General features: G+C 39.8%; 1 long non-coding RNA gene and 1 pseudogene across 1 annotated transcript in view; both read right to left on the bottom strand.

Moving 5' to 3' along the window:
* Nucleotides 1–428: 428 nt before the first annotated feature.
* LINC01085 (long intergenic non-protein coding RNA 1085) overlaps nt 429–27,930 on the bottom strand; it is a 28,085-nt gene continuing 583 nt past the window's right edge. Inside the window, exons 2-3 of the long non-coding RNA NR_033931.1 lie at nt 13,223–13,404; nt 429–2,020 (exon numbers count right to left, since the gene is read on the bottom strand). This is a non-coding gene — a long non-coding RNA (long intergenic non-protein coding RNA 1085). The remainder of the gene's footprint in view (nt 2,021–13,222; nt 13,405–27,930) is intronic.
* KLF17P2 (Kruppel like factor 17 pseudogene 2) lies at nt 13,817–14,142 on the bottom strand (annotated as a pseudogene).

The following is a 27,930-nucleotide window of genomic DNA, read 5'->3' as shown; positions in this document are numbered from 1 at the left end:
TATACCCAGTAATGGGATGGCTGGGTCAAATGGTATTTCTAGTTCTAGATCCCTGAGGAATCGCCACACTGTCTTCCACAATGGTGCGTGCTGATTCTTTATTCATTCATTTGACACATGCTTTTTGTGACTCCATTGTGTCAGGTTCTATTCTATGTTGGGCTGTGTAGCAAAAGACAGACAAGGTTCCTTCATCATGTACTTTATAGAGCACATACACAGGACCATGAGATCCTACACTTTCTTGTAGAGGTATGAGGTAAAGTGTGTACTGATCTTAAAATAACAGTCCAAGAAAAGAAAAATCATGATCAATAAACATGATGTGTGGAAATTTTTGCCTACTCATAGGACAGTTGAACAACTATGTGAGGTTCATTTCCACTCTTCCACTAGGACACTGAGCTTTGAATAAGTTTAACTACAACCACAGAGAAGTACAACTATTTATTTTCAGTACTGATGAGTTTCACACAACTTTTTCTACTTATCTACCTGCCTCATTTACTTTCCCAATTAAAAAAAATATCTAAAATCTGTGAGTCTTGACACAATGAACAGTAAAACCCTAGAGCAAATACTGCACTTTGGCTTGTTCTTAATATCTATTAGAATGCATCCCTTGCTTCTCTTTTCTTCCATTTCCTGCCATGTCTTTTGTTGATTTTTAAAAGTGCTTTTCATTAATTTATTTATCACTTTTACATCCTGGACTCTTACAAAAACGTACCAACTGATGTAAGATGGTTATTTAACTTTTCAGAACACATTGGGGGCTTAGCATTTCATCTCTTTGTCTAATTTCTGACTTGTCATTAAGACAGATTCTGAACAATCACTTCTGACTCCAAACAATCTTCAGCATTTGACATTGTAAATATTTCTTCCTTGTGTAATTTAAACCTCACGAGAGGCTAGAGATGAAATGTGGTCATTGACTTTTTGCAACTTAGAAAAAAAAAGCAGAAAGATATTTAGATTAAATAAAATGCTATGTTCACCCTGTTGGAGCCATAGCAGCTAAAACAACATTCCAGATAAAAGAGTAAAACAGTCTCGGAAACCCAGGTTGCTTTTCCACTCTAGGATGTCATACTTTCATGACAACACCTGGATATAGTTCACAGTGATGGTCTACGATTCTGATAATGGCTTCTAAGTGGTTTCCTAATAGGAAACCAAGCCAATTTTCTTTTGTCTAGTCTGTGATTAAGGAAACTAAAACTGAAGTATAATACACAAATCTTTCTCATATTAAAAACAAAGAACATCAACAATAAAAGAAAAAAAAAACAGAATCACAGCCCAGAGGGAGTGGTGAAGCCAAAAACACAACTGTGTTGCAACATCTGGATAATCCATACATTCTTAATAGTTGGCAATGAGAAAGCTGAGATGGAAGTCACCATTAGAAGTTCTTCAGCAGTGATGATCAGAAGCCTTGGCAGTTCAACAAATTCATGGGACTTTACCACAAATCTGCATTGTTTTTTCTCAGTGGTAGCTCTCTTGATCTAAAATCTTCATGAAATTTTGCTCTTTAACATCAAAAGTATTCAGTTAGCTATTTAAACTATTGGATTTTGTAGCAGTAATGCAAAAACAGGCTAAATAAACCTAATGAATTTTGTTCTTAGAGGCTTAATATTAGTCACTGACCAATTTTAAACAATTCGATAAGAATACAATTATTGAAATGTGGTGTCTTCTGTGAAGCACCATCTCCATGTTAACCCCAAACTTGTATCATTGAAAGTGGTTCAAAATTTCCATTTCAGTCATTTCCAAAGGGAATACCTTCCCACAGAGCCCAATAGACCCAATATTACAGAATCTCTTCACATAGTTACTAATTTTGTTGGATATCTCTGGGATGTTTTTATCAATTTCCAAGATTCTTATGCTATGCCATCTTCTTGGCTACTGTCTTTTGCTTCTGGTTGAATCAGGTCTTCTGGAAACTCAGCCTCAAAGATAGAGCAGATGCTAAATGACTGAGATATACCCATAGAGTTGGAACCTAAAGGCAGACACAAAAACATAAGGTATGATTCATGCCCATCAAATCTATGAATTGTTTCTGAAATTAGGTTTTCATTTCCACTGAATAGCTCTACAATTCTTTGACAGCTGTGATTCCATTGACTTCAGGGTAGTTTAGCAATGGGAATTGGCTATAGTCTCAAGTCACCATCTGTTCAATCCTCATGTCCAGCTTTCTCTTGAGTGGCTTTACTTTCTGAAACCAATCAGCCAAATTGAAATATATGCTGTCTTTTTACAGCATCAAGTCTGGTGAATCCATATCTCTGCCATGGCACTGAAAAATTATAATTGAGGGTTTAAAGATGTGAGTTGTTTAGTCATCTGATTTACCAAACTCCTTAATCTGAAAAAGCAGATGAAAGAACCCCTTTCAAATATTTTCCTGACTAAATCATCCACCTATATTAAATAAACAAATTTATATTTCAAGTTTTTTAAAGTAAGTAGTACTAAGTATGCAGAAAATCTACAGCCTTTATCACCTCCTCAATTAAAATGCGCAATAAACTAGTTTTTACAAAATTCAGAGCCCTAACTCTCTTGATGCTTGGAATAATTGAAACCAAGTTCACTAATGTACTCTTGTGACTCACATTTATTACATAACTCTTTTTTTATTCCTTCATCATAAGTCTTCCTATAATAATTGAATTCTGCTTTTAGTGCAGACCAAAATGCTTTAATTTCTTATGGGAAGCTAGGTTCACACATTCTATGTCAGTAGGTAGTGTTTATGTTTTGTAGCATCCTCAAGGTAAATGCATTTGGCCTTATGTTGATTGTCCCTCTGAGGTGGTCAGACAAGTGAGTATAGAAGAGCTGGTGTCATAGTGCGTTTTGGTCTGCCGTAACAGATGACTGGGGACTGCACAACTTTATATAGAAAAGGGATTTATCTGTCACAGTTCTGGAGTCTGGAAAGTCTAAGATCAAGGCACCAGCATCTGTGGTGTCTGGTGTCTGGTGAGGGCCTTCTTGTTGCATGCTTACATGGCAAGTAAAAAGACAAGCAGAGACCAACATTATGTCTTCATATGGCAGAAGAGCAGAAGAGAGTGAACCCACTCCCATGAACACTTTCTATAGTGGCAATATCTATTCATGAGGAAGGAGATCTCATGACCTAAACACTTATTAGGACCCAACTCCCAATGCTGTTGCATTGGGAATAAGTTTCCAACACATATGTTTTGAGGGACATTCAGACCATAGCAGCTGGCTATCAGAACTGGGGTTCCTGTGAATGCCCTTGACGCATTGGTATCTGATTTTAAACTGTGAGGTCTGCTACTTTATAGAGCTGCAGAGGGGACCCCAGGGGAGCTAAATCAAAGCCATTCACAAATGGTTTCCTCCAGAGGTCCCTCCTTGTTTCTGCAGCTCCTTCTTTTTATCAACACCTGCTAGCCTGGCTTGTCAACCTCTTTTGGATATGGATAACTGTTCCTATATTTCCCCTGTGTTCATATTTGGTAACTCACTTGCCAGTGATTCTTCACCCTACTTTTCCCACACGTTTTTGGTCACTTTTTGTATATTGTGCTTTGGTGAATTGCTTAAAATCTATTTGTAACTGAAACTGGCCAGGATCCCATTTGGAACTTTGCTGTTCCTGCATGCTGGTGGTTACCCAAAGGGCCATTGTTTTACCCAGGAGGGGCCATGAGAGTCCTGACAGTGTCATGCGGAAGGGATTGAGTTGGGGTGGGAGTGAGATGCAGATGGTTTCTAGCCATGTTCACTTCCTACTAAGGAAAAGCAGGCTTGTTTGTTTGTTTGCTTATTTATTAGTTTTTATTCTACTTGTGTCTGAGAAGTCAATACCTGAACAAACACTGTGAAGGTAAATTCAGACTGTTTTCTGTCTGGTGTTAAACCAAAACACTTTTCTTTGTGCTCCCTAAAATAATGCATCATATTAGGATAATGAGGTTAAAAAACAAGCCTTTAGAGTCAGACAGGCCTAAGCCCGACCTATCCCATCCCTTTCACTACTCCTCTGAAGCCATGAATGCTTAACCTAGGTCCTCAGCCCCTCTGTGTCAGTTCCTGTCTACAAAATGGGGATAAAAGTAGCACCTACCTCAAAAAGTGGTATGAACGTTATATGTAAAATCACATACAATGTGTCAAGCCAAGTACATGGAATACTTATGATAATAACATACCACATTCTGTTGACCAGCTTTTATTCTCTAACACTTTACATAGATTTGCTCATTTAATCCTCACAGGTGCTATCTTTGTCTTTACTTTATAGATGAAGAAGCCAAGTTTAAGAAAGATTAATATATATTACCCAAGATCACAAAGCTAGCAAGGAAATGGGCTGGGGTTTGACACCAGATCTCTTTTATTCTATAGCTTCTGTTCTAAAGATAGTGCTTTAGAACAGAAAAGTAAGGCATCCTGTAGAGCTTTCTATTAAGTGGTGAAGTGAAGGCAGACCTCTAGTGAGAAATTGAATCTGGAAGCCAATTTTCAGGTAAGTGTGCTATACAGTGTACCAGGAGGAGAGTGCGAAAATTATTAGTGAGATATTTGAATTATCAAAAGCAGTCTTTCATTGCTATCAGTGTCCTTGATGCTTTGTGTGATTTTCTGCATTGATGAAACAGGTATTGGGTGTCTACTCAGTAACAGGTGTGTAAAGTACCATTTATACCAATAGAAATAATTGTTACCCCAACCCTCACCTTCTTAGCCCCATTCCCTAAATCACGTCTTTTACCATGGCTTTTTAGGGGACCACATGAGCATTAGTTAAAAAGAAGTTTTCCAGAATGGTATAATAAGAAAAATTTCATTAGGACTGGGGCCTGGGATCAAATCATGACAATAAGACCTGATGTTTGAATATCCTAAGACTTGGTTTTCTCAGAAGTAAAATATGAAAAACTAGCAGGTAGTGAAACATCAGATCTCACCCTACGGTCCGGAGTCAAATCGCGTCCTCCCAAAAAACATATGTTGAAGTCCTAACCTGCAGTACCTGTACAGGTGATCTTCTTTGGACGTAGGGTTTTTGCAGATTTAATTAAATTAATATGAGGTCATTACATTGTGCATTAATTTAATATGACTAGTGTCCTTCTAACAAGAGAAAAATTTGAACACAGACACAGAAACACAGGAATACTGTCATGTGAATATACAAAGACATACAGACACAATGAGGAAGGCCATGTGAAGACAGAGTCAGAGATTGGAGTGATACATCTACGAGCCAAGGAATACCAAGGGTTGTTCATCTACAGCGATCAGAGACTATGAGAGAGGCCTGGAACAGATTCTCCTTCAGAATCTCTGGAAGAAATCAGCCCTCCCAACACCTTGATCTTGGACTTCTGGACTCCAGAACTGGGAAACAATAAATTTATGCTGCTTTAAGCCACAAACTTTGTGATGTTTTGTTACAGGAGCAATAGGAAACTCACACACCTGCCGCATAATGAAGTCAGGAAATAATTCCTTAGAAAGTTTAAAATGATAGCTGCAGGAGGAGAGAACCCGCTCTTAGGTGGCCTGCTGCATCAAATAATGGAAGCCAAGTCACAGTGATTTGAAGTCCAGTTCCTATTGGGGATTAGAAGATTATCTGTTAACACCTTCTCCCTTAGTCCAATTCTTCCTAGAGGAATATAATCCTCACGCCCACTAACCCACTGTTTTCAGCTTCTTCAATATGTGTAGTTGTCTTCACCCACCTGCCTTTTTCCTTTTTTCTGTTTATCTTTCCACACTACTTTTTTAGTCCACCTGTACCTCAACTCAAACTTCATCTACTTTCTACTATCCCTTGTCACTTTAATTTAACTTGAGCACAGATACGCTGCTTCTGTGCCCAATAATTGATTTTATTCTATTTGTCTTTAAACATGGCCATGTGTAGGGTCCCATCAACTCACACATTTCACTCACTCCTTCTTGAAAAGCCTGTTTCAACAGTTTTGTAGATACAAGGAAGCTAGTAGCTTAGTTTTGTATCTAATGTGTTTTAAATTGTCCCTAGATGTTCCATTCTTTGTTGAAGAAAGAAGCTAAAGGGAGGGGAAATGAAAGTGTCTTTTCCAAATTAGGTGATTGGTGAATCTCAACAGGCCCAAGATTCCTTAATAAGAATAGTAACAGCCAGATTCAGGCAAGCTGGCTTTGAATTCCCAAATCTCTGCTCTCGCACTGACTAGCTCGGTGTCCTTGCAAGAATTCCATAATTTCCATATGCCAAAATGGTCAGGCTATAAAATGAGGTAACAGTGCTGCCTTTCTTAAAGAAGAGTTGGGCCGGGCATGATGGCTCACACCTGTAATCCTAGCACTTTGGGAGGCCAATGTGGGTGGATCTTCTGAGGTCAGGAGTTTGAAACCAGCCTGGCCAACATGATGAAACCCCGTCTCTACTAAAAACACAAAAATTAGCTGGGTGTGGGGACAGGGGCCTGTTATCCCAGATACTTGGGAGCCTGAGGCAGGAGAACTGTCGGGAGGCAGAGGTTGCTGTGAACTGAGATCATGCCATTGCACCCCAGCCTGGGCGACAAGAGCAAAACTCCATCTCAAAACAAAGCAACAATAACAAAAATTTGGAAAGGTAAGTGGGTTAATAATGCATGTGTATTTTATGCCTGGTTCTTAGTAAGGTCTCAGTAAACATTAGCTCTTCCTATTTGTCTCCTAGATTTTTAGCAAATATTTCATTTTTACGATAATGCATTCACACAGTTGTCTTCATTATTTGTTTAACTAAGTCCTTTGCATACTTATTTTTATGCAGTCTCTTAATAAGAAATTAAAGCATAAAATTGAAATATAAATCTAAAAAAAAGTGGAATAAATTTTTTAAAATTCCATGCTAGTAAATCTTAGTGGAGTGTTTTTTTTTTAACGGCTTGCCACAGTTGATTTTACACCAGCATTTTATGAAGCATATTTTATTTTTTCTAAATATTCAATTACATCAAATAGGTATACTAGTACAGGCTGATAGCTAGAACTGGAAATAACAGTAAATTTTAAAAAGCTTTTATTTAAAGAAAAAAAAACCTTTCAAAGTTACTGTCAAAGCTTTTCCTGTTTGTCTGAGATTGTGCACTTTAGGAATGAAAAGAAAAATTGAAATATACTGGAGGGAAGTTATACTTATTGGCATGAAATATAGGAGAAAAGCATGCAAAGAAAGCAGTCCAATATATCAAGGCAATTCTAGCTCTGGTCATTATACAAACTTAACATTACATCGTGGATATAAATTTCTTGAGTGAGTAGTTGATTCCTACTGGGATGGAGAAAACGTAAATGGAGCCGATATGCTTTCAAATAGACAATCTTTAGTCTTAATTTGAATAAATTTGGCCCAGAAGGTTTTTATTTGTTTCCTTTGATGAGGTTTTTTTCTTTTCCTCTTTTATTTATCATTTTTTGGAGGGGGCTAGTATATTATATGATTTAGCAATTAAATGATTTAGGCTAATTAATGATTAAATGGAAAGATGAGTGAATCAATATATTTATAAAAGTCTGTTTTCTCCAAACAGTCTAAAATACAGACACCAGATGTCTAGCACGTAATAGGCACTTGATAAAACATTTTGACTGACTAATTCAATTTTATAGATCCTTTATTCTCCCAGATACCTGGTAAATTCTGCATCCAATAGGCATCAAAGTTGGCTGTCTATGTACTATTGTTTAGCATGTATCTGTCTGACGCAAAGACAAAGTTACATGAGCCAGTGCCAATGTGAACAGATTCTGATCATCAAGATCTACTCCTAAGAAAAGGTGAGGATACAGGAGGTGGAAGTACCAAAGGAAAGAGGAAACTTCCCTCTTCCCACCACTCACTTTAATGGAGGAAGTCAAGCATAAGACTAAAATTAGAAGGAATGAATTTAGTGTCCATATCTGTCACTTACTTGCTGTAAGATATTGGGCAATTTTCTTAGCTACCCTGAGTCTCATTTTTCTCACTCATAAAATGGGAAGTATGCTTTCTCAGTGTTTTCCCAGTGGTGAGGATTCAATCAAAGAAATCTCATGAATGTGTGCATTAAAATTTAATGTGCTTCACAGATATGAGACAATAACCACATCATCCACATTGGATGCAACAGAGAAGGTCAACTCCGTAAACTGTAAAAGCATAAAAGGTGAGAGACCTTCCACAGACAACTGAGGTTTAGAGACCTGTGAACTTCAGGACCACATGACTCTGTTGAATGAATATTTTAATCCTTTGTTTTTAAGCAGTTTGTATAATGTGAAATTAAATAGCAAAGCTTGACAGCAAAAGGAACAACACAGATATATTTCAACACACCCAACCTCTTCCACAGTCATTCCTATAACTCCCAATCATACTTTTACTAAGTAATAAAAAAGGTGCTTTCTTCCTAGCAAAACCCAAACAGCCACGATCTGGACTGTGCCTGGAATCTCAGATGTTGAGTAAGACAGAAATGCATTATAAAACATGAGCTTGCCTCCCGTCAGTGCATCTTTATTGCATATTTATGCCTGTAGTTCCTGGGTGCTTCTGAGACAGGAGATATGCTTGTTTACCATTGGGACTGGTTGCATTTCTACACACCTGTGTGGAGTTTAATCTGGAAACCCCCTTCTGAGCCCCTTAAAGCTTTTTTTAATTTATTTTTTATTTATTTATTTTTGAGCCAGAAGGAACCTGGGGGGTCTGCATAAATCCAAAGACTCTACATCAGGCACTGGCAGGAAGAATGTGTTGAGCTACGAGGCTTTTCCAGAACTTGCAGGATCAAAAACACAAGGGTGATATAGCAAGTGCACAGTGTCACAAAAGACAGGCACCAAATCACACATGCTAATCAGAATGCCTGAAGGTTGGCAGAATTCAGGCAGCAATTTCTCTTCCACCAATCTCCACTTGACTTTTCTTGGGAACCAACAGGGAGATGTTGGATTTGACTATTAATGAGTCAGTACACACTTTATTGGTCCTAAAGCACATTTGTCATGGCAATTTACATGAGTTAGCACCATGTTTCTAAAGCTTGCTACAGAATCTAGCAAGCATTTGTTTTAATGAGCTAACACACCCAGAATGACTTATACTTTTTATGGTATTTATTACATATTGTCATAAACACTATTAACTTAAATTATGGAACCATTTGCACACTCAAAGAAAAAACAAAGTGTTCATCATTAGAGCAAGAAAGAATCTTTAGAGACACCCACTCCCGCACTTTGTATTCTGTTGTATATAGAAGAAAATCTGGTGGCATTCTTTGTCTCATCTTAGCTAAAAGGAAATCTGAAGATCTGCAACTTGGCTGGAGTCCTGGAAGTCTGTGATGGAGAGGGAAAGTCCATGGACTACAGTGGGTTAAACATAGGGACCTCCCAGTGGGTAGAACCCATGAGAAAAACTGAAGCCAGCTTTAGATAAACAGGGAGCCAAGTTATCAATCCTTAATAACTAGGAAGGAAAGTCCAAGTCATGGGAAAATTTAAGGATAATCCAAAGATTAATGGAGTCTGGAGAGCCCCCTGGAGTAGGCAAAACGTAGCACCAGGCACATTTCATGTTAGACTGTACTCTTGGCTGTGTGGCAAGAAGCTCTGTCAACTTGGACTTAAGCTTTTCATAATAATTACTAATTTCCTGGCTCTTAATATACATGTCCACTTGCAACTGGCATAAACTGGTTTTAAAGGCCGTATTTTGATGTGATGTGTCTCTCTAGGATTTTCTGGAATGCTAATATTCATCATCTCCCACATTTCTTTAATCTCTCACACTCAAAGCTCTTTCTTGATGATGCTGCCTTCCTGAGAGTTAATGTGAAATGGTGATTTAAGAGTGTAGACACTGGTTCACCAATAAGCTATTTGTCCTTGGGACACTTACTTAACCTCTGTGTTGTAGGCAAACAACTCAACCTCTGTGCTGTATGTAAACGGGTACCATAGTAATCTCTTTAGGGTTAGTGTGAGGATTGAGTTATAATACGCCAGGTCCTTAAAATAGTGCCTGGCAATTAATGAATGCTATTTAGGAGTTTCTAATATTTATTAATTTTAACTATGTATCATCCCTCCTCTATTGTCTAAGGCTAGCAGAGTGCAGGGAAGCAAGCATGTAACAGTGATTTTAAAAAAATTAACAGCATTTGATTTTCAGCTTAATGGGTTTTTTAAAAACTGTTTTTCATTTTGAAATAAGAGAACGAGACACATTGGTGTAAATAAGCAGAATCCCTTTGAATGTAAACTGATGCAGTTATGTTAAATTGGTGACTCAAATTACATAACATTGTTATTACTTTTTTCCACATTTTATTAAGACTATAAACCTTTGGATTGAAAAAAGTTCAATGAACCCCAGATTGAGTGAATGTAAAATTCAAAATCACACAAAACATATCACTATATCATTTAGAAATAGATATATATATATGAATAAAAACAATAAATAGGAAAGGCAAGATTAACAAAAATTTAGGATTGCAGTTACCCCTGGAGAGAAGAATGGGGGACTCAAAGGCTTTAAGTGTATTGGTAAATGTTTTCCCTCAGGTGACCTAAGGGGTAACTAAGTAGTATTATTATTATTTAAATTGAATATGTACAAAATATGTTTTGCAAGTATGCTAGATATCACAATAAATAGAAAATAAATTAATGAAGTTCATCCATTCTTTTTATGTGTTACTTATAATAACACTAGCCAGAAAACTGGGAGTCATTCTTGACCACTCCCTCACCAAGCAAATCTAATTAATTATCACATTCTACTTCTCCCTACCTTCACTATCACACCCAGGCCCAAGCCACGTTGACTCTCACCAAAAACACTGAAGTCCCTTCCTGTCTCTTAAACGCCTGCTCTAATCCAGTCTCCAGATAGCAGCCAAAGGAAGCGCTTTAAACCTTATATCTCTTCAACTTCTCTATCTCTCCATCCCCTTTGCTATCAGAAGCAACAGGTGACAAGTAAATTGCCCAAAGTCGCACAGCCAGGAAATGGCAGAGGCAGGACTTTGGGTGATATTGGGAAAGGCTTAGCCACTGCCTCATACAGGGTAATCTCTGGCTAAAGGACAGATTTATTTCTCCTTGAATTACTATCTCACTTTCTTTGTCTGCTTAGTTTTCCTTAACTCTGACCTCAAACCACAATTTCCAAGAAATGCCTTCCTAAGTCCCTGGCCCCATTGCAGTAAGTCTCCACTGTGTGTCCTCCAGCACTTTGTACATTTCTAGTAACATCCCTCCTCCATTCTATTGTGACCTCCACAAGGGTAGGAGCCTGTTTTGCCCACCATCATAGTGCACACCGTACACCCTTGCTCACTCTGGTACTCTCCATGTCCATCTCTCAGAGAAAATGATAGGTTACCAACCAGATCTCTCATCTTACATTCCAACAATAAGCAATCTGGTCTGCTGATCCTACCCACAGGGCTGTGTGTGAGACAGGTGGGCTGGGGGACAGAGATCAGCCCTGGCCTATGGAACCCGAGATAGCCTGCCCCATGGAAGGGTCCTGGTGCCCAGCTGGAAATGAAAGTGAGTTTGGATACCCAAGACCTCAATCTCTGGAGCCAGTGAACAGGTCACACATTAGCCCCTTCTGCCTCTGTTCTTTCAATCATATCCACTTCTCTCACTTGGAGATTGGGTGGAGGGCATCTGATGTCCACCCCAAGTATGCTGGGGCTACTAGTGACACAGACCAAGGTGGCCAAGCAAGATAAAGTCAGGATAGGGGTGGGAGGGCAGGGGCAGGTATGGCCAAGGCTGTGGAACTTCTCCAGAGAGCTGAATAAGCTTGATCCTGCTGAGGTCTGGCTCTTTTCCTTGGCAGCACTGAACATATTTACAATTATTGTCCATGATATTTCTGCCCCACAATAGAGGCAGGGTACCTTCATGCTCCTCTGAATTCTTGTGTCCAGCACAGAGCATGACCAAGGGCATATGTTCAAGAAATGGGTGGTGCGACCAACCCCCATGAGTCCTTCAGGTCTGACTCAGGTACTTCATTGAGAAGTCTTTATTTGTTGACACATTTTTTAGTTGTTTTGGTGTTCTTCACCATGGGACCCCATAGCCTTGGTGCTCTTGTATTGTGAGCTCAAAAGACATCTGCCAAATGAATGAATGGACACTTGCAGGCTGACTCTCTCCTGAACAGTTGCCAGGTCCAATGCTCTCTGTCTGGAATCCTCTTTCCTCTTCATTTACCTGCTCAGTTTATCTCAACATTTGAGGGATTGCTAGATACTTCACTCTCTTACTGGGCTCAAGGGTCACTTCCTCCAGAAGGCCTTTCTGACTCTTTCCTTTAGGGGCTCCTCGACTCCATGGCCACTGCACCTAGGTGGACCTGTCTGCCCCAAGATCAAGATGGTACCTTGAAACCAGATCTGATTCATCTCTCTGTAGCCATCATGTGGCCATGCTTGGCACCAGTATGGGTTCAGGAAACACCTACTGACGGCATCATCTTTTAGGAGAGAGACAAACTCTGAAGTGGACTGATCCTGATTGGGATGCCAGCCCTGCACTTGATAGCATAGCCAAGTTCCTTTCTTTCTATTAGCTTTCTGGAGTAAAACAGACTGCTGAGCCTGGAAACGAGGTCTAAACTATCTGGCAGAGTTGCCAGGATAGTCATTATCCCCTCAACCTCAGGAGAGAGCAGGACAGGATAAGCCCCTTAATATCTGGTACTTGGTAGTCCAGATAGCTGGGACAGGTGGGAGGAGGAGGAGAAGTTAGAGTGGAATTCATCCTTTTCTGCCCTAGTCTAAGGTTCTCCTTTCCCTCCACCCTCAAACTCACCTAGAAAACAGAGCCCAAAAACTAAGTACTGATGTTTTATTTGGGGAGGTAAAAACTCAAGGCATTAGGAGTGAGAAGCAAGGGAAGAAGCAAGAGAGGAAATAATGGGAAGTAATACAAGATGATGTATTACCAGGCTGGGCACTGCTTCATGACAAGCCTTGAGGAGGGATAGCAGTTGTGTCCACCTGCTACTTGGGAAGTTTCCCCATAGACTGTGTTATTTTGGAGAAATGGCGCTTTGCAGCAATTCATGGAAGGGAGGGAAGAAGAGGGAATTTATCTGCCTGGCAGTTAGCTATCTCCCATTTTCCATTAGTCAAATTTTATCCCATAAGTATTAACTCACCCACACTTCTAGGTTTGCTGGTGGCAACTTGGGATGCCAGATCTCATGCCCTGTGGTATGGCATTTTATCAATGTCTTTAAAGTGGTGGGAAAAGACAGAGACTCTATGCATGTGGCCAGGGAGAATCTGATATAGTACATATGTCCTGTCCAGTACAGTCCAATATTGGTTTTCTCATTTTCTGGAAGAGAACACAAGGCATAGTGATCAAAGATCTTTCCCAGGGTCACATGCTTATTAAGGATTTGAGTGCTGTTTGGCTCTGGAAACTGTGGAAGACCAAGATAAATAACTTGAATTTTATGTAGCAGGTAAAGGAGTCACTAAAGGGTTTTAAACTTGAGAGGCACATGAGATAAAGAGCTTTTTAATGAAGCTCCCAATCTCTACTGTGCCCTACCTTCCCACCTGGCTAAACTCCAGTAGAAGGAGGTGGCCACAGAAGAGTTAGAGCATTGATGACAGGTTTTGAGAAGTCTCCGGGTTCAGAGCTTCATTTGGGCTTCAAGTATTGCTCCATAATCATCCTGTGTTCATCTAAGCCTCCACCTACCAAAGAGAAGGTAGAGAAGCCAAAATGAGAAGAGATTGACCTAAAGACAAGGAGAAGGAGGACCATCCATCTCTTCATTATCAGCCTATGGATCTGAAGATCTTGGCATCTGCTGATGAATCCTTTGGTGCTGCCTGAGGTGGTCAGATCTCATGAACTGTCAGCCCCACTGATCACATCTATGCGATCTATATCTGTTATATATCCACATATTTCGCCCAAGCTCATCAGAAGGGAAGAAAGGCCATGTACAGCCTTCCTACCTGCATGTGTAGGGCCTCTTACTTGGGCAGCCTGGTGCACCACCTGACACTGGCTTAGTTCCTCAGCCTCCTGATCCACTTCAGCCTGGTATCAGCTGTACATGGGGACTGTGTGGGGTCCAGATCCACTTCAGGCCAGACAGGAGACCGGTCACCGCAGTGTCACAGGTGGGTGTCCGGAAACCACCACATCCAATAATGCCATTTGGATCAACTACCCCTAGTAAAGTTCTGAAAAACTAAAACAACAATTGCTTATTGATTTGTACATACATTGCATTTCTGGAATTCAAGCATATAATAAAAATAAGCAAAAAAAAATACTTTAGCATTTTATAAAAACTAGACATATGTTCTAGGCCCATGCAATTATAATCAGGTTTTTTACTTACATGAGTGTCAGGTTGGCCATTCAAAATCATGTGGGGCACAGGATAATTATCTATTTTGTGGGAGGGACTATACAATGTATTACAGGACGTTTAGCCTACCTAAGCCCTGCCCTCCAAACACCAGTGGGCCCCTTCTGTCATTCATCATCATAATAAAAAACCATCTCCCCAAATTTTCAAAATGCCTCATTGGGTAAATTATTGCCCTAGAGAGTATCCAGGACTGGGAGGTAGCTTATTGGTGGAGTGAAAGCCACAGAGTGGGCAAGATTGCCCAGGAAGTTCAGAAAGAGTAATAAAAGACCAGGGACAAGGTCAAGTGAAATACAAACATTTAATAAATAGGAAATGGTAAGAAACAGCCTGAAAAGACTGGAAACAGACAGAAGGAGAACAGTTTCAAGGCCAAAGGAGAAGAGGAACAGAAAAGGGGAAATAATGTTTTCTCTAGAAGAGATGAGTCAATAGTATCAAATGAAATAGATAAATTAGGTGAAATGAGGAACTGATGTAAGTCTACTGAATTTCACAATTAAGAAGTAATTTCTGAATTGTCCCAAGGCTGTCAGTGCTGCCTTTGTGGATTGAGAATGTATTGCAGCAAATTGGAAATTGGACATCAAAACTGGAGACACTACATTGTCAAATCTTTCTGAAAGGGGGAGAGAGATGGGAATTATGATTGACATGACTCATTGGATCAAGGCAACTGAATTTTAATTCACATTCCATTGCATTTCCTTCAGGAAGTACCTTATCATTCAATGCTTGTAAAATGCACAAGCAATGCCTGGCCTCAATCAAACTCTAAAGAAGCGTGTTTACCTGTTCATATATTTGCTTTTAAAACAAAAAACATTTCTGATTTAAACAAGTGAGACTTTCTTGAATAAATTCTACAGTGGGAATTGAACATGCATAGACCTCTCTCTTCCTCTTCTTGAAGTCCCTGGCAATATCTTAAAGTATGGTCTGTGTACAGCTACAAACTACAGCTCATGTAAACAATAGCATGTTTCTTTCTCTTTCCCCAACATTAGCGACTCTGACACTTCTTCAGTTTCTTTCCAGGGGACAGAGGTCAATATTGCTGTGTCTGAAATCCCATTGCAGAGCTTCACTAGGGCTCTCCACAATAACTGCACCTCTTTTCAGAAACGTCAACAATACCTGGGCTGTAAAGAATCTCTTTGCCAAAATGTGTCTTTAGTCTTGAAGTTGAATTGGTAAAGAATAGCATCCTCAGCATTTCATGTTAAGAGTAGAAAACTTGAGCATGTTTATATGCCAAAGAGGGCAAGATAAAGAGGGGAAGGCTGATGGAACAGGTGTTAAAATGATTTAATGATGAAATAAGAACATCAAGGCTGGAAGAAATTGAACTAAAACTCATAGATAGAAGGAGACCCTCTTTCAGTGTATAGAAGGAAAAAAGAAAGGTATAATCACACCTCTAGGGAGTGGGGCTTGGAGGGTGAGATGGTGCTTTTTAGAAGCTCATATAAAAGGGCCATATCACTTGAGATGCATTAGACTGCAAATAATAAATGTCCTAAGTAAACAGGTTAAACAATAAAGATACTTATTATCTCATTTAAGAAGAAATATATCCAGATTTATTTAATAATAATGTGAAACAGTGAATCGAATTATCTGAAAATGACCATAAAAACTCACTCTCAGTTGCTAGGAAAGCAGGCTGGCTGTCATGAGGGAATGCAGAGTGCTTGTTACCTTCTCTAAGTGGGCGGAACAGTAACCAGCCTAAGCATTCTGTGGAGTGTGACCATTGGCTCCCTTCCCCTAGCATTCCCAGACAATTTTTGTAAACTTATTGTTTTCAATAGATGATCCATGGTCCCTAAACCAGCAGCATCCACATCACCTGGGAACATGTTAGACATGCAAATTCTCAGAGCCCACCTCGGAACACTGAATTAGAAGCTCTGGGGGTGGGGTTCGGTAATCTGTATTTATCAGGCACTACAGGTTCATGCTAATGGTTAAAAAGCACTGTTGTGAACATCTGACACCCAAAATCCAGACGCAGGGACTAGATCATTGAGGGTTTCAAAAGCAATGAAGAGAACTTATGGAGTCAAACAAGAGAACAGTTCTGTGTGATACCTATACCATGCTGCTAGTAGCCACCCTCCTGGAGTCATTTCAAATTAATTCTCAAATTCAATTAGGAAAAGCAAAGGTTGCTGTTTTTTAGCAAATGTTGCACAAATTTGATCAATCACAAGGGTATTCACAAGAATACTGCAGAAACAATGCCCTAAAGGTCATGCTGATTCAGTTTTACCTGATAATTTGCCTCAATAATATAAATCTGAGAAGTATAGTAAGAGAACACGAGACAGACCTAGACTGGCATCCGAGATCTATTTTTGACCATGTGTATCTTAACTTCTCTGAGATAACTTTACTCCTAAAGCTTATACACACTGATCTCTTAAAGTTACTGCAAAAGAAAGAGGATAACATGCACTATACATAGCACAGTGTTCGATGTGTCAGAAGAGCTTAGTAAATGATGTGAAAAAAAGCTCATTGCTGTGTGGCTTTTGTTGTGACTCTTGTAGTTATTGGTGCCTGGGTGTGATATTGAAAATGTAAAGAGGAGGAATGATAATAGCTGAAGTGAATGTCTTAGAGCTTTCGTAGGAAGTGCAGACTGGGAGAGGAGGGACACATAAAAGGCTTCCAATGCTAGAGATGCTTAAAATAAATCTTGAAGAATGAGTAAGAGAGAGAAGAGGCTCAAGGAAAGGTGATTCAAAGCTGAGGACACAATATAGATATTGGCATGGAGGCACAAACAACTCTGCCTTTTAGGGAATATCTAAGGAGTGTTGTTGGGATGAAGAGTAGGACCCATGACAAAGAGAGGGATGAGATGAAATTGCAGGCTAAGCCAGGGTCCTGACATGAAGACCCTACTTGGTCTACCTAAGGAATTGGATATATATTTGAAGAAAATGTGAGGACTGGTGTGTTTTTAGCAGGAAAATAAGATCTGCTTTCAAAACCCTATAGAAGCTGAAGGGAAGAGAATGTATAGAAATGAAGAACTTGGAGTCAGAGGACTTGTTTGGAGCTTGTTATCATAAATCAGGACAGCAAGATGAGGGCCTGGGAAAAGCCATGAGGGGAGTGTGAGCAATTACAAAATAACAGATTTGGCAAAAATTTAGGGAAAAAGGAGCTCTTATACACTGCTGGTGGGAATGCAAATTAGTACAACCTCTATGGAAAACAGCATGGCTATTTTTCAAACAACTAAAAATAGAACTACCATAGAATCTAGCAATTCTACTACTGAGCATCCACCCAAAGGGGAAAAAAATCATAGCAAAAAGATACCTGTACTGGTATATTTATCACAGCACAATTCACAACAACAAAGATACAGAATCAACTTAAGTATCCATCAATGAAAGATTAGATTAAATGAGGTATATATACACAGTGAAATAGTATTCATTCATAAAAAAGAATGTCTTTTACAGTGACATGCATGGAACTGAAGGCTATTATCTTAAGTGAAACAACTCTGACACAGAAAGAAAAATACCAAATATTCTTGCTTATAAGTGGGAGCTAAAGAATGTGTAAACATGGAAACAAAGAGTAGAATGATGGACAATAAAAACCCAGAGGGGTGCTGGGGTGGGAGGGGGGTCATGATGGGAGATCAGTTGGTGAGTTCAATGTGTGTTGCTCCAGTGCAAGCCTTGACTTCACCACAATGAAATATATCAATGTACCAAATTGCACTTACACCCCTTGAATGTATATATTAAAAAAAAAAAAGAATAGAATACAGCAAAAGTAATAGAAATAAATTTGCAAGTTTGGGTTAGGAAAAACTAGAAACTCTCACACACTCTCTCTCTTTCCTCTCATTTAATCCCACCGATGAAGCCAGTTTTCATGTTCTCAGCTGCCCTACTGAGAAGACCACCTGGTCAGAAACAGCCAGCAAAGAACTAAAGCCCTCAATCAGACTATCCACAAGGACTGAACCCTGCCAATGAGTAGATACACGAACTTGGAAGCATATTCTTCTGTATTCCGGTCTTGAGATGATTGCAACCCTGGCTGACCCTTTGATTGTAAGAGATCCAGTGACCCCAGTTAAGGTGTACCTGGATTTCAGCCCCATGGAAACGATGAGATATTACAGGTTTGTTATAGTGGTAATCTGTTATGTAATGCAACATACACAAGGGATCACTTTGGGCTGTGGTCAGAAACACCCACTGAAATAGTTTTTCCCTTGTCTCTGCCCTTAGCAGCAGTTGGTGGAAATGTCTGTGAAACATCTTTAAGAAGAGCAACCTTTAATGAGGTGAGGGTAAGTGAAGGAGTGTTCCATTGAAAGGGTGACCTCAGATTCCAGATCTCTAGAAAAAAACTTCTCTGGGTGAGAAAGCGTTTATTTCTGCTGCTCTTTCTCAAGAACTTTTTGAAATAAATGAAAGTAAGGGAGATTTGTAAAGACTGTCTTTAGAGATAACAAGTGAAATTATCATTGGCATCCATAACTCAAAGACAATGTGGATGAAGATGTGTAATGTGAATGTAAACTGTGCAATTTTATATGTGTTTTATTTCACTTTAACGTGGAGGTGTGGGTTGGCAGACAGATGTATATGGGTGGCAGATATTTCTTATAATTAGCAGAAATTATTTACTAGTTTGTGCTTATCATAGGAAAAATGGAGGCTCTAGAGCAGGACAATCTGAGTTAAAATTCCAGCTAAGGATCAAATGAGTTAATTTTTGACATAGTATATAAATTATCTATTACTACCTCTATGTAACAAACAACCTAAAATTTAGTGGCTTAAAACAACAATGTCTTTTTGCGTGTGAGTCTACAGGTCACCTGGATGGCTCTGCTGATCTGAACTAGTATTGGTAGATCTCAGCGGGACTGGCTCATGAGTCCGAGGTCAGCTGGTGGATGGGCTGAGGGCTGGTTTCTCTAGGGTGTTCTCATTTACATTGTCAGGAAGTGGATAACTGTTGGCTAGGGTGATGGAGTTTGAATGGGCCACATGTCTCAGATCTTTCAGTAGCCTACCTTGAACTTGTCCATAAGGTAGCAGCAGTGTTCCAAACGAAAAAGTGGAAGCATGCAAGACTCCTGACACCTAGGCTTCTAACGGGTAGAACACCATTTCTGCCGTGTTTTATTGGTCAAAGAAAACCACAAGGCCAGCCTAGACTCTACCACTTGATAGAACTACAACCTCATACGACAAAGGGAAGGGAATAATTGTCACTATTTTTGCCAACAATCCGCCATAGTTGTTGGAATTGAAATGTTAGCTATTGTTATTGTGATTAGATGAGGTTGTGGCATAATAATACATAAAATCCTAGAATGTCAGAGTTTTAAGAGCCTTCAGAGAACAATTAGTTTATATAGTCAATGCTTTTATTATATAAATAGGGAATGTAAAGAAAGCCAAGCCATTTGTTTTAGGTTTCCTGGTTAATGATGAACTTGGACTAAAACCCAGATCTTCTGACACCTAGGCAATATTCTTCTCAAAGACTCTGAACCCTAATATATATGACTATCTATGAATGTACATGACTACATTATTATTATTTTTATATATATGTAATTATAGTCATATTTTTACTTAGTCTACAAAATGTTTTCTAGATATTTGCTTCTTTACTTGTTAGTTTAAGGCATATGAATGCAAAGATTTTGTTTTGTTTTTTTTTGTGTGTGTGCTGATTGTTTCAGTGATGCCTAAAGGATGCTATCAAGGATCTTTGGACAAGGATCACAGAATGCTGAATTGAAAACATTTCCCAAAGCCCCAAGACATATTTCAACACTCACCTCCAGAAACCATTGTTGCATGGCTGCCCAAGATAAGACGAGCCCTACTTTATAATTCAGCTTTACTTCGGGGCAGAGGGAGTGAGGCAGAGCATCATAAACCCAGCCAATGGAATGTGTTATAAAAGCCCTTGTTCTTTCACCCTAAGGACAAGCTGTGGAGAAATGATATGGGAAATGTTGATAGAGAGTCCCTGCTTCTAGAGAGCAGTGAATTCTTCGAAAAGCTAGTCCAACCCTCCCAGTGACTATAATTGCCATGGAAGCCCAGAGAGCTACGCATGGAGACATAATTGTGTTTGCTGCTGCTGTTGTTGTTGTTGTGTTGCCATTTTTGGTTGTTGTTCTAATGGTCCTCGGCACATGGCATGGTGTCATTCATCCATTTAGGGAATATCTCAACAATGGGGAGCCAAGTGTTTTTTCCTTGTGTGTTGCTTTTGTCAGGATGATCTAGATTATGCAGCAGTAACAATCAAAAGTTCCCAAACCCCAATACGTTAAAACAAGAAATATGTGTTTCTTACTGTCATGAAATTCTCATTATGGATGAGCTGGAAACTGTACTGTTTCTCTCTTCAGTGCCCGGGCTGTTCGAAATCACTGCAGATTGTTGTGGCAGAGGAGAAGACAACATAGTGATTGAGAACTGGTTCTAAGGTGTTTTCCCAAAAGAGATAGCCTGGCATTTAACTGGGTGGGCAAAGCAACTCCTACAGCCATGCCTAACTGCAAGGGAAGAGAGAAGTGCAATTTTATAAGATGCCCAGAAAAAAAAACCCAGAAACTATAATACTTTGAGGAGTTTGAATGTCTACTAGGCACATACCCTCAAGTTAAGGTTATAGTAGAGGCTAATGAGTGGCAGGTATATGAATACGTGCATCAACATTAAACCCTCAGATTTTATGACAAAGCTTACAATGTCCCATTCTCTTTAGGCAAATGAGATTCTCCCTCATTTCACTCCTACTTATTAGAAAGAATACAGACAAGGCAGTAAGACTTCTGTTCATGGGTAATCTGTTCTTTACTCCCATCCCATGGTAACCACCTCATCTGCTATTTTTATGGGATTTTGTTTCATGAAATTCCCTTTCTCTTCGGTATCTCCGACACATCATGTATCTGATGTCCCCATTCCCAGCGATCACCCTTTCTCTTCCCATCTTTTCACAATCAAGAATCTTAAGCATACTCAGAATCAACTCTGTCCACTCTCTAGTCTCACATTCATCACATTTTCAGGTTCTACTCATACTCTAAGGGAAGTGAATAAGAAAAGGGTGAGAGTCAATGAGGTTATCTTAGAATTCTGCCTGCCACAGCAAAGGCCAAAGAACAACAAATGTCAAGTATAGGTGGGAGCACTATTTCACTTGCTTAAAATGTCTAACCCAATAGGATAATGCCTGTTGAATGAAAAAAAAAAAAAGTGAATGAATGAGCACATGACTGAGGCCTCTGAATCATCCTCTATAATGCTACCTTTATCCCTAACAGATAGTATCTGTAGTACTTGTTAGTAGTACCCTGGAGGGGTGTACTACCTGTTAGGGGTAGACTACCCAGACATCATGGATATCTTGGTCATATGAAAATCCTGGTAACCCAACAGGAATGCTTCTCACTATCTTACCTTTAATGTAGCATAATGCCCTGGCATAAAACCTCTGCCACTGGATGGTCAGGGTTCACATTTCACCTATCCTTTTACTATTTTGTCATGCTATCCAAAGTCACTGAACCTCAGGTAGACTCAGCCTTTTTTTTTTTTTTGTAAATATAACAATAATAACTGTTTCATAGTGTTTTCACAAGGATTAATTAAAATGTCGTAAGCACACATCTAGGCACACACTGAGTACTCAACAAATGTTAGTTAACATTGTTATTATTGCTGTTGTCACTTTCATCTATTCCTTTAAAGCATCAACACCTTGTTGTTCACCTCTTTTCTTTTTCCTCCCTTTAGTCTTCTTCTTTCACAGAAATGATCAGAAGCCTATTACATTTGCTAAAGTGCTGATACCAAAAAAACAAAATCACCTTTTAGCCAGCTCACTCTGCCAAAAAGTGATAGGATTAATTTGTGTTCCCTCCCCATCACCCACTTCCTGGAACTAGACCACAGAAAGTGGCAGAAAGTAGAACATGGGGGCTGAGAAGGCCTATTTTTTTTCTTCGTTTGAATACAGTGATGTGGATAGAAAGGGCCTAAAGAGAGGGTAAACTTCTCAAAAAGAAAATCACAGATGGTTTATTAGAAATGGCTTTTCCATTAACCATCAGGGTGACCTTGGGTATGTTGCACTTCACCACTGCAGTCCTGTGTCCCCTCCTCTGCAGAAAGAGGAGATTACCCTGTGGTATCTGGCATCTCACACTGACATTCTGACATCCATGATACGAGGGCAGCACTGCAAACAGCCCAGAGCCTCCTGTGCAGGAATGGAACACACATTGTCCTGATGGCTGGGGAAGGCTCGGCTCATTGATTTGACCAGCCTTGTATTGCCAGCAAAGAAAATGATACCTCCCTCCATGAGATAAAGGTGAAAGTCATGGAGCAGAAAGGCAGCAGGAATGGGAACTCATTAATACCAATACTCTCCAGGTCTATAATATTACATTGGATTCTACAGAGCGCTTCCACATATATCATCAATCTGGATTTCACAAACAATGGCATGGGGTAGGTAGAGTGGTTATTAGTATCTGCATTTGTGACAGACCTAAGTTCAGGCGTCTGCCCAAGATGAGAGAGCAAAGGTTAAGTCCCAGATGTAGCATGGTAAACAAGTTAAAGAGATTTTAGGTCTATAGCCTTAGATTTTTGTCTATTGTCTCTCTGGTAGTTGACCTTGGAACATGACCTTTTACAAATTCTCTACTCTGAGATTTGCACTTTCCTGACCTATAAAAGAGGAATAATAATAATAATAATTAAAATATCAAAGGGTGGTTGCAAGGTTCACATCAGATCACATATATGATTCCACTTCACGGACTATAAAATGGTGAGCTTAGTTAGTTTTTTTTTGAATTGCCTTGGCACCTGGCACTGCATTGTATTCACTCTTTCAGAAATGATAGCTCATAGACAGGCAAAACAGTCTGCATCATGTGTCTGGCAGATTTATACTCCTGAAACTACTCCTTCATCTGTCTCATTCAATGTGTCACATCACAGGCTTAGCAAGCCCCTAACACTTCTCTCCCCAAATCTACGTCCCTGTCTTAAAAACTATCACAAGCTTCAACCCCACCAAGGACTTTTACGGTGATTAGACCCTCTTAATTCAGCCACTGCCCCCTCTACTGAACTCAGAGATGGATGGTCGCCTGTCAGTCTGTCCAGTTGGGCAATATCTACCTTGGTAGAGAGACACTACCTACCTACCTTGTTATTGGCAGGCCGCAGGAAACAGAAGGAACGCATACTTGGGAGGGGTGAAAATAAGTAATTCCAACTCTAAGTTGTTGGAACTTTAAATTATTTTGAGCCTTAAAGGAATAAGATCACAGGGCCTGAGTCAGGTGATAGGCAGCTGCAACATAGGCAGCTGTAACATAGGCAGCTGTAAACTTTGTTTCTGTTACTATGGATTAGCCTCCTCCTTCACCTATATTGTTTTATAAAATGTTAATGACTAAAGGGCACCAGGGAAGGGAAGACCCCTACCCTCTTATTGTTGATTTTTGTTATAGAGTAACTTCCCTCTTACCTCTCTCACACAAAGACCACAGCTGTCACATTATCTAATCTAGTAGTCCTAACTTTTTTGACACCAGGGACCAGTTTCATGGAAGATAATTTTTTCATGGGTAGGGGTAGAGTGGGAGGAATCGTTTCGAGATGAAACTGTTCCACAAGAAGTACGCATCATAGATCCCTCACATGCACAGTTCACAATAGGGTTCGTGCTCCTATGAGAATGTAATGCTACCGCTGATCTGACAGGAGGCAGAGCTCAGGGGGTAATGCTTGCCCACCCACTCTCACCTCCTGCCAAGTGGTCCAGGACCACTGGTCTGTAGCCCAGGTCTTGGGGACGTCTAGTCTACTGGAATGTTAAATATACTCTTTTAAATTGGAAAGGAAATGAAAAGTTGTACAGAAAAGAAAAACTGTAACTAATTAAATTGTTATAACTCATAAACCAGCCTTGTATAGAAAATGTTGTAATCCTGTTAAATTTTTTTGTTTGTTTTCTTCCTTTATAGGCAAAATCTTAACTTTTAACTTCAAAGAACTGACCTCACTTCTCTGATGTCTGTGTTTTCCAGGTGGCCATTCCCAGCTTTTCATGTGAATACACTCTTTAAACTGGATTCTGATCTTTCTGATTATTTCTCTCCCAGCTCTGCCACTGGCCAGCTGGGTGACTTTGGTGAAGTCACTGAATCCATCAGAAGCAGTTTCCTTTCCTACAATGTAGAAAATACAATTCCTGTCCTCCAATACCACAGATTTCTGAGCATCAGTAATGGAGGTGTTGTAGAATCGCTTTGTGAATTCTTGTGCTATGGAGACAGTCCTTGTTCCCGATTTGTTATTTAAACATTGTAATTTTGTTTGATTGTTTACTGAAGTCATGTCTGAAAACTCCCATCTGTAACTAATCTCTGACTCAATGAACTTCCATGATAATGTTTTAAGAGAGAAAAAGAAAAAAAAAACCATATTCTTAATACCTACTAAAAGCTAGATAATGTATTAAATTGACTTGTATTGCTTATCTCATTTTAGTCCCACAACAACCCTCTGAGGAAAATAGGATTCTCACTGCCCAGAAGGTAAGCAGCTGTCTTGGGTTTCTGGCCTGAGTAACCACAGGCTTAGTGATGCTAATGACAGACAAAGGAGGACTCACAGGCTCTGAGCAGATCCTGGGGGGTTACTTGCTGATATACCCAGAGGGAGCTGTCCCGCAGGTAGGCAGAACTCAGATCTGCACCTGGAAGGGGTCTTAGCTGAGCCTGGACACTTGTGGGTCATTCATGAGGAGGAAAATGAGACTGAGTGTGTAAATGTGGTCAGTCAGGGAAAATGTATAGACTGAAATATGGAGACCACAATGGAATACTTGGAACTAACATTTTAAAAATGGACTAAAGAAGAGAATGAGATGGAGAAAATTGAGGAGCTGCTAGAGAAGCAGGGGGAGTATGACAGTGAAGAAAGGTCTCACTTAACATTGTCAATAGGCTTTTGGAAATGGCAACTCTAAACAAAACAATGTGTGAGTGTGACAAAACCAGTTTTACCATAGGCTAATTGATATTAACAAGACTTAAGTTTGTACTCCATATTCTGGTCAGAAAAACATCATTATACTTCTAAATGGAAACTCCAAACACTTCTAATATTAAACATTGAAATAAATGTGAGATATGCATGTGTTTAAGAAAAAATAATAAAAACAAGTTAGATAATTATTTACTTATTTATTCTAGTGCAGGATCTTGGGTGGCTGGAGCCTGTCCTAGCAGCTCAGGAGCCAAGTGGGACCCGACCCTGGCCAGGATGCTGTCCCATCACAGCACACACTCATGCCCACATCCACACTCATTCAGACTAGGACCACTGAGACACACCAACAAACCTAATGTGCACAGCTTTGATGTGTGGGAGGAAACTGGAGTACTCAGAGAAAACACAGGCAGACACAGACATGGGGAGGACTTGCAAACTCCACACAGACAGTGGCCCCAGCTGGGCATCAAATTTTTTTTCATAAACATTATAATGAAACATTGTTGAATTAAACAATATTATTTGAGAAACTGCCGTATGCCACTGCAGAATTCAGCAAGAGGAATTTCAAGTAGGAGGAAGAGTTTGACAATGCTTACAATTGTTTGATTTTTATAATATAAGGATTAAAAAGCGTCCGGTGAATTTGGCAGTTAGTTCTTCATTAATCACAGTGAGGCCATCTTCAGTGGAGCCATGATGGCAGAGGAAGGCTGCATCACTGCAGTTTAAGGAATGACAGGGAAGTGAGGAGCCTGCAGAGGAGAATTAGTTGACAACCCCATGAGAAAGTACAGACTGGTGAGTGATAACCGGGAGAGGATGAAGGCTCCAGGGAGAGATTTGTGCATGCAAAATGGCTGATAAACTTGTAGAAACCCAGTGGTTGTTTGCAGAGGAATAGTGAGTCTGGAATCCTGCCGTCTGTGCACTACTCAGAGATATCTGAAGAAATGTGGTTCCAGCAGCCCAAAGCTGAAAAGAGACATTGGTAAGCTAGAGCACGCCCAACAAAAGTGATGAACATAAGAAAGTAATTCAACATTTCCGATGATGCACATACACACAATACACACAAAACACATATACAACATATGTATCACACACATTGAACACGCAACACACACAACACACAAACATATACAACACATGCATATTACATGCATACACACAACATGCATTAACCATGTATACAATGCATCATATGTACATCAGACACACATTACATACACAACACATCCAGTACAGGTAAAATACCGCATACACATATACATCCACACACTAGACAACACTCGTAGCATATATGTGACACACATGTGCATATATGCACCACGTGCTTGTATGCACAAAACATCCACATAACACACACACAGACACACACAGACACACACACACACAGTAGAGTTGCCTAGCAAGCCAAGGATATACATACCATAGTCCCAGCAAGAAGCATGGGAGGAAGGGAAGAGACTGATGTGTACTAGTCTTTGAAGGGCTACAAGCTCACATGTTTAACCAAGCAGAGAGAAGAGAAGGCAACCAAGAAAAAAAGGCATGAGAACAAGATATGATCACCCTCAATCTCTGCCAGTGCAAGCCACAGTACCATTGTGGGAGCAGAAACTGTAACCCTCTGAGCATACTGTTGGGTGTCCAGCACTGCATCAGAGTGAGCTACTATTCCTTTACAGAAAAGAAAAGACACTCAAACCGCCCCCCCACCACCTTTATTTATTTATTTATTTATTTTACAATGAATGAGTGGTCTCTTGGAAACTCTCCCATGTCTACTTCAAATGTGCTGTTTGAAATGTTGAATATAAATCATTGTACTATAAAGACATACACACATATGTTTATTGCAGTGCTATTTACAATAGCAAAGACAGGGAACCAACCCAAATGCCCATTAATGATAGACTGGATAAGGAAAATGTGGCACATATATACCATAGAATACTATGCAGCCATAAAAAGGAATGAGATCATGTCCTTTGCAGGGACATGGATGAAACTGGAAGCCATCATCCTCAGCAAACTAACACAGGAACAGAAAACCAAATGCCACATGTTCTCACTCATCAATGGGAGTTGAACAATGAGAACACATGGACACAGGGAGAGAAACAACACACACTGGGGCCTGTTGGGGGTGGGGGTTGAGGGGAGGGAACCTAGAGGATGGATCAGTAGGTGCAGCAAACCACCATGGCACACGTATACCTATGTAACAAAGCTCCACGTTCTGCATATGTATCCCGGAACTTCAAGTTAAAAAAAAAAAAAGAAAGAAAGAAAATGAAAAAAGAAATACTGAAGGCATGGGAAGACCATTACATATAGTTGCTACAGACTCAATTTCTGTTG

Source organism: Homo sapiens, chromosome 4, assembly GCF_000001405.40.
Source record: "Homo sapiens chromosome 4, GRCh38.p14 Primary Assembly".
NCBI classification, from domain to species: domain Eukaryota; kingdom Metazoa; phylum Chordata; class Mammalia; order Primates; family Hominidae; genus Homo; species Homo sapiens.
Note: the sequence above shows the minus strand (reverse complement) of the source record. Positions and strands in the feature narration are given on the sequence as shown.